Source organism: Homo sapiens, chromosome 6 (genome assembly GCF_000001405.40).
Source record: "Homo sapiens chromosome 6, GRCh38.p14 Primary Assembly".
In the NCBI taxonomy this organism is placed as follows: domain Eukaryota; kingdom Metazoa; phylum Chordata; class Mammalia; order Primates; family Hominidae; genus Homo; species Homo sapiens.
The window spans coordinates 7,663,938-7,672,349 of NC_000006.12; positions in this window are offsets into that span (position 1 = coordinate 7,663,938).

Consider the following 8,412-nt stretch of genomic DNA (forward strand, 5'->3'; position numbering starts at 1 on the left):
GAACTTAAAACATAAACCACTTGAAACTTAAACATAAACCATTTAATCATTTAAAACTTAAACTATTTGACCCAGCAATCCCATTACTGGGTATATATCCAAAGGAAAATAAATCATTCTACCAAAAAGACACATACAATCACATGTTCATTGCAGCACTATTCACAATAGCAAAGATGGAATTAACCTAGGAGTCCATCAATGGTGGACTGGATAAAGAAAATGTGGTACATATACACCGTGGAATACTATGCAGCCATAAAAAATAATGAAATTCATTAAAAAGAATGAAATCATGTCCTTTGCAGAAACATGGATGCTGTTAGAGGCCATGATCCTAAAGGAATTTAATGCAGGCACAGAAAACCAAATACTGCCTGTTCTCACTTATAAATTGAAGCTAAACATTGGGTATGCATGGACATAAAGATAGCAACAGGCCAGGTGAGGTGGCTCATGCCTGCAATCCCAGAACTTTGGAAGGCCAAGGTGGGAGGATTCCTTGAACTCAGGAGTTCAAGACCAGGCTGGACAAGATAGCAAGACGCCATCTCTACAAAAAATAAAAAATTAGCTAGGCATGGTAGTTCACACCTGTGGTCCCAGCTACTAAGGAGGCTGAGGTGGGAAGATCGCTTGAGCCCAAGAGGCTGAGTCTGCAGTGAGCTGCAATTGCAGCACTGCATTTTAGCATGGATGAGAAAGTGAGACTCTGTCTCAAAAAAAAAAAAAAAAAAAAAAGATGGAAACAAATAGGCTACTAGAGAAAGAAGGGAGAGAGGAGGGCAAGGGTTGAAAAACTAACTATTGGGTACTGTGCTCCGTACCTGGGTGATGGGATCAATTGTACCCCAAACCTCAGCATCATGCAATATACCCAGGTAGCAAACCTGCACATGTACCCTCTGAATCTAAAATAAAAGTTGGAAGAAAAAAACTTCAAAGCAGCAGCCCTATTTAACATTCTCCCCAGCGTGTATGAGGGCTCCAATCCCTCCACATCCTCACCGACGCTTGTTATTGTCTGTCTTTTTGAGTACAGTCTCCTAGCAAGTGTGATGTGGTCTCTCATTGTGGTTTTGATTTGCATTTCTCTAATAACTAATGATATTGAGCATCTTTTCATGTGTACATTGACCAGGCCATTTGTATATCTTTTTTTTTGGAGAAATGTCTATTCGAATCCTTTGGTCATTTCAAATTTGGGCTGTTTTCTATTATTCAGTTGTAAGAGTTTTTATGTACACATAGAAGTTTTTAGATACAAGTCTCTTATCAGATATATGATTTGCAATTTTTTTTCTCATCCTATGGGTTGCTTTTTCACTTTCTCAATGGAGTCATTTGGTATGCAGAAGGTTTTAATTTTGATGAAGCCCAATTTATCTATTTTTTTCTTTTGTCATTTGTGCTTTTGATGTCATATCTAAGAAGCCATTGCCTACTAAATTTATGTTTTCTCTGAGAGTTTTGTAGTTTTAGATCTTACATTTAGGTCTGTGTTGCATTTTGCCTTAATTTTTGTATATGGTGTGGGGCAAGAGTCCCACTTGGTTCATTTGAATGTGGATTTCCAGTTGTCCGGCACCATTTGCTGAAAAGACTATTGTTGCACCATGTAACTGTCTTGGTCACACTTAACTTTTATTGGCCAGTTTTATCATTTTCAGCTTTTCATTATCTTTTTTTCCAGAATTGAACTGACCTTGGGAATAACCATCCGATTCCATTGTCCTTATAGTTACGATTTCATCCAAATTTCTTAAACAATATCAATGCAAAAATTCTAAAATATTAGCAAAGGGTATTCAGCAGCACATTAAAGAGAATACAACCAATTCAGGATCATAGGAATGCAATTTATCATGTACTTAAAAAATTCTGATTAGTATTTTTGTTGAAATTATAGTAAGCTCTTTTTATTTTTTTTGAGATGGAGTCTTGCTCTGTTGCCCAGGCTGGACTGTAGTGGTGCGATCTCAGCTCACTGCAACCTCCGCCTCCTGGGTTCAAGCAATTTTCCCTGCCTCAGCCTCCCGAGTAGCTGGGATTACAGGTCACCCCAGCTACTTTTTTGTATTTTTAGTAGAGACGGGGTTTTGCCATTTTGGCCACCACACCCAGCTAATTTTTTGTATTTTTAGTAGAGACGGGGTTTTGCCATTTTGGCCAGGCTTGTCTTGAACTCCTGACCTCAGGTGATCCACCTGCCTCGGCCTCCCAAAGTGCTAGGATTACAGGTGTGAACCACTGTGCCCAGCCGAAATTATAGTAACTGTATAGATTCATTTGGGGATAATTGATATTTAATAAAATTAGGGCTTCTTGTTCCAAAACAGTGTATCTTTTCTCATCTGTTCAAATCTTACTTGACAAATTTTGCTTATATATATCTAATATCTTTGACATTACTAATTTAGATCCAAAACTATAAAACTATAGATGAAAAGAAAAGAGTAAACCTTTTGAACTTGGCTTAGGCAATGGTTTTTTATTTCATGTTTAATTATAGACATGTATATATTCTGAGAAATGTGATTTTGTCATTGTGGGAGCATCTTAGAGTGTACTCACACAAACCTAGATGGTACAGCCTATTACTTTCCTAGGCTGTATGGTATAGCCTATTGCTCCTAGGCTATAAACCTGTACAGCATGTGACTATACTGAAGACTGTAAGCAATGGGAACACAACATTAAGTGTTTGTGTATGTAAACATATCTAAACATAGAAAAGGTAGGATAAAAATATGGTATTAAAATCTTATGGGACCACCATTGTATATGTGGCCCATTATCAGCCGAAATGCCATTATGTGGTGTATAACTGTATTGGAAAATAGAATTTTCTTCCGACTTTTTCTGGACTGGTCTCTTTGTATGTAATTAGCCACCTTCTGTAATATTTTTGTGTTGTTTGTTATATGTTTCAATTGATTTGCTCCTGTTTTATAGCAAGATCATATCATGCGTGATTACATTAATAGACTTCCTGATACTAATTTTTTTTCCATCAATATTCCTATGTGTGATTGGCCTGGAGTTTTCTTCTATTATCTTAAACAGATTTTTATATGAATGCAGGGAAACTTCATTTACAAAAAAGAATTGGGATGTTGTCTTATTTGTACTTGCTCCAAAAAGTTTAAATAGGTTTGGGGGTTATTTAATCCTTACAGATTTAGGTCTCTGTGAGGCCATCTGAGCTTTTCTGGGTGTGTATATGTGTGTGCACACACCCCAGTTTGGTTAGCTCTTTGACAGATGTCTTAATTCCTCTTACGGTAATTAGTCTGTCATTTTTTTCTCTTCTGAGGTTGGTTTCACAATTTACACTTTCCTAGAAAAATCACCTATTAGAAATGTGCATGCACTGAGTCGAGCACACACCTGCACTGGCCTTCACTGGTATGCCACCACGTGCGCCTCTGGTGAAAGCTTCACTGACTTAGTGGCTATCTTGGACCCGGGACGATCTGTGCTCCTCCTGCTGCTACCTACAGTGGGGTCCTCATTGGCAGCTGGGCAGGAGGTGATCCAGCTCCAAATTCCCATCTCAGCATCAATGTTTTTTGGTTATCAGACCCTCCTTTAAATGCACGGGAGTCAGTATACCTTTAAAATAACACCGGCTGGTGCTGCTTCTTCTCTCCCCCTCATTTGGCTTCCTTAGAGTGGAAGCAGGGCGGGAGCCTTAGACAGTGTAAGATGGCTCTAGTTTACCTGATTAGTCCTGTGAGCTGGCACAGGTTCTCCCCGGGGTCTGTATTTGGGGGTGGTGGGGGCAGTAGAGCTGATCATCTCATCTCACTCTGGACACGCTTGGGAACTATGCAGGAGGTAGAAATCCTAAGACTGAGCTCATCATGGCAATCCCATTCTCCTCGTAGGTGGCTGGTTCAAGGGAGGGCATGTATCCCTATTCTGGCCAATGGGACTTGAGAAGATGTCCTTGGGGCGACTTCTGCACAATGATCAGCAGCCCCTGTTCTGTCTACACAATGTGTCAGTGGTTGCTACAGCCATCTTGCAGCCAGTCTCAGGATGAAACCAACACATGAAGCCATGAAAATCACAGAAATGAGCTGACGTCCTGATGGGCCTAGAGCTGCCCTCCTTGGGTGCTTCTTATGTGACATATTAAGCCCCTTATTAGTTGTATCAATGCCAATTAGGATTTTCTACCACTTGCAGCTGAAGACATCCTAAGGACTATACTTGTAAGTGGATTCTAAGTGCAGCTATTTCTGTTTCAGATTCAGCTAGGTCACCACTATAGCAGATGCCCACTTCTCTGACCCGCCGAAGGAAGATCGCTATGTGGGAATTGTAAAAGAGATTTCCAAAAAGCAGTTTTGTAACTTTTGGCCACGTGTCTATCCAAGAGTATCAAAGAGTTGAGGCAGTTATCCAGGAGGTCTGAAATCACAGAAGGTGTTTGGAGAGCGTGCTTAGCACTCTGTGACTTCTGCTCACACTTCGTGGGGAAGGGATGGAGATGCCTCCTCCCTTTCCCTCACTTCCAGGCCAGGGAGGGGAGCTTTAATGGGATCTCAAGGAGCTAGACATTTAATTCACAGAGCCGAAGGGGCATGGTGGACTGATGTTTTATTCATGCCTAAAAATTCTAAAGGGTATGAGAATGTGATTGTGGATGGCCTGGACTCATGGACAGAGTTCCACAGAGCAGGTATGTACCTGGCCTTGTGATAGCTCCTGTGGGGTTACTTTAGATGCTGCCTCATATGGGCTGAATTGTGCTCCCTCCATCACTAAATTCATGCGTCGAAGCCCTAAACCCTAGAACTTCAGAATGTGACTGTTTGGAGATAGGGTCTTTAAAGAGGTAATTAGGTTAAAAAGAGGTCATTAGGGTGGGTCATAATTTAATATGACTGGTGTCCTTACAACAAGAGGGAAATCAGGACACAGAAATGTGCATGCACAGTGGGAAGACCATGTGAAGACATGGAAAGAAGACAAGCTAAGGTGTATTAGCTTGGGCTGCAATAACAGAATAGCACAGACTGCATGACTTCAACAACAGAAGTGTATTTTCTCACAGTTCTGGAGGCTGGAAGTCCAAGATCAAGGTGACAGCTGAGTTGGTTTCTGGTGAGATATCTCCTCCTGTCCTGCAGATGACTGCCTTCTCACTGTGTCCTCATTTGGCCTTTTCTCTTTGTTGTGTGGAGATAGAGAGAGCCCTGGTGTCTCTTCCTCTTCTTATAAGGAAACCAGTCTTATTGGATTAGGGCCCCATACATATAACCTTGTTTAGCCTTAATTACCTCCACAAAGGGCCTGTCTCCAAACACAGTCACATTGCGGGTTAGAGCTGCAACCTATGAATTTTGAAGGGGTAAAATTCAGTCCAAGGCTCAGCCTGGTGGCTCACATTTGTAATCCCAGCACTTTGGGAGGCCTAGGCAAGAGGATCCCTTGAGGCCAGGAGTTCAAGACCAGCCTTGACAACAGAGCAAGACCCTATCTCTCCAAAAAAAAAAAAAAAAAAAAAAAAAAAAAAAAGTTTCTTTGTGTCTGGTTAATTAATTTAAAAATAAAATGAAAAAAATGTAGCCGGGTGTGCTGGCACAGTTGTAGTCCCAGCTACTCGGGAAGCTGAGATGGGAGGATCGCTTCAGCCCAGGAGCTAGAGGCTGCAGTGAGCTATGATTGCACCACTGCACTCCAGCCTGGGCAACAGAGCAAGACTCTATCTCTAAACAAAAACACAAACACAAAAACAAAACATAGAAGAAAACACCAATGCAGTATCACAGAAGGTAAGAGTAGGGCACATTTTTATGCTACCCCGAGGCAGGGATTCTCAAATGTGGACATGGCTAACATTTGGGGAGATTATTCTTTGTGCTGGGGGCAGCTCTGCGTTGTAGGATGTTTAGCAGCTTCCCTGGCCTCTTCCCACTAGACGCCGTAGCACACTCCACTCTACCCAGTTATAACAACCAACTATATCTCTGGACATTACCAAATGTCCTCCTGGGGGCAGAATTGCCCCTGGTTGACAGCCACTGTTTTAAGGAGGCAGAGGTTAAGAAACAGAGGTTTGGGCTTTACTTTTAACTCCATGTTTTTGCAGTGTGTCAATTTTTTGCAGAATACAAGTATTTCTTCTGTTTAAAAAATTAGGAAAAAAAGGAGTAATAATTTGGTCAAATGCTGTAAGCATTTGCAGGTGGCCCAGAGGTGCTGTTGGTGACCTGTGGCATGTTCAGAGGTATGGTGGGGAGATGACACCAGGTGACCAGGATTCAAAAGGGCCGGGAGAGAGAGGAAGCTGAGGTGGTGGAGGCCCAGCATTCGACAAGGAGAGAGGCGAGGAAAAAGCAGAAATAAATGAGTGATCATAAAGCTTCTCAAATACTACCATTTTCCCTAATTTTAAAATCCCAAAGAAAGGCTTTTCTCAATTTGCTTTATATAAGACAATTTTGGAAACATCTGAAGTTTGGCAGCAATTCCAGGAGAATTTGGCTCTGCAAATCCCAGTAGCTAATTGTACTACTGTTTGCCAGGGCCACAGACTAGGGTCGTTACACAGGACTTTATTTCTTCCCCGTTCCGGAGGCTGGAAGTCCAAGATCCAGGTGCCGGGAGGCTGGAAGTCCAAGATCCAGGTGCCGGGAGGCTGGAAGTCCAAGATCCAGGTGCTGGCAGGGTTGGTTCCTCCTGGGGCCACTCTCCTGAGCTGTAGATGCCATCTTCTCCCTGTGTCCCCACCTGGTCCTCCCTCTGTGTGTCTCCGGGTCCTAATTTCCTTTTCTTATAAGGACACCAGTGAGATTAGATTAAGTCCCACCCTAATGGCCTCACTTTCACTTAATTACCTCTTTTAGGGCTCCATCTTCAAATAGAGTCAAATTCTGAGGCACTGAAGGTTAAGATTTCAGCATATGAATTTTGGGGGGACATAATTCAGCCAATTGCACTAGTGACCATCTCAGGGGTCTGTAGAGCCAGCTGGTTCCCTACAACCAGTGCTCCCCATCTCCATTACAGGAGCCACTGCAGGTAGCCCCAGGTCATGGTGGCCACCACGGACCACTGCCTTCAGCACCCTCCCTCCCTCCTCCATCTCTTCTGTCATCCCCCACAGTGACACACACATTACTCTCGTGGATCCTAAATGTGAATCGACTGCTCCTCATTCATCCTGGGTGTACCCAACATCTTCGAGTCATCTCAGGGCCACTCCTATTTGTTGCTTCGATCTTTGGCTACTTGAACTTAAAGGGGTCAAATAAACAGACTTCAAAGCCATGGTGCATATAATAACGTTTGGAATTCAGGATGTAGACAGGGAACCTCCCTAAATGTCACAATTCTCTTAGCCCTATAGTAAGGCATGCCCCACATTAGAAAATAACAGCTCAGAGGAGGTTTTTCCCTGGGGATAGCTATGTCTCTAGGAAAATGTCCCATTCACGATGAGTCACCGCTGAGAGAGCATCAGCTCATGTTTTTGGTAATTTACTAATAAAATGGTATCTCTATTAAATACATATATAGAAAGGTAAAAATAGATTGAGCATTTTCTAAATAGCTCTGGCTCAAGGTAAGGTGGTGAAGGAGTTGTTAGTTCTTTTGGAGCAAAATAAAGCTGCTCTTCCTTCATCCCCAACCACACTTCAACTTCATCCTAGGACAAACAAGAAATCCTCCAAAGAAAGAAAATGAAAATGCTGTTCTTGACTGGATTGCTTCAGAAATATGCTTGGACTTGAGAGTTCCAGCTTTTCTGGGATTCATTCTTACAGAGTCTAACCCTTGTGGTTTTTTGGTAGGAGGCAATTTCTGTGCTGGTTATGATTTGAAGGAGCTGGCCCACAGCTCAACCTTGCTTAAATTGGAACAAGATGTCACCAGTGGTCTTGCTCCCATAGTAGGTACTAGAAAATAGATTCTTGATGGATGAATTTGAGGCCATTCCGGGAGACTCTTGTTAGTTTCCATGACTAGAAATGACACCACCATTCTGTCATTGCGTTTCAAGTGCCTTGTACCACGCAGGGAGTGTGAGTTGTAGTGGGTGGTTTTTTTTTTCTTTTCAATTTTTTTTTATTTCAAGCAATGAAGGTAATGGCAAAGAATTTTTCATAAAAACAAGTGACAAATTTCACTCGAGTTACTGACACATAGAAGGAAAAAATTAGTTTTTGCTTTGAAGCTAACCAGAAACAAATGGGACTGTTTCTCCAAAGGAAAAGTTGGAGTTTAGTTATGATACATCCCCTCCCAGAAATCTAGGAAATTATACATACTGTACCCTCTGTTTATAAGAATATGAATAACATGATTGTGTGCACAGGGTCAATTGCAGTTCAGATGAGAATTTACCGCTGCTGAGCTGCAAATGGATAAAGACAGAGAGAGCTGCTGTTAACCCCT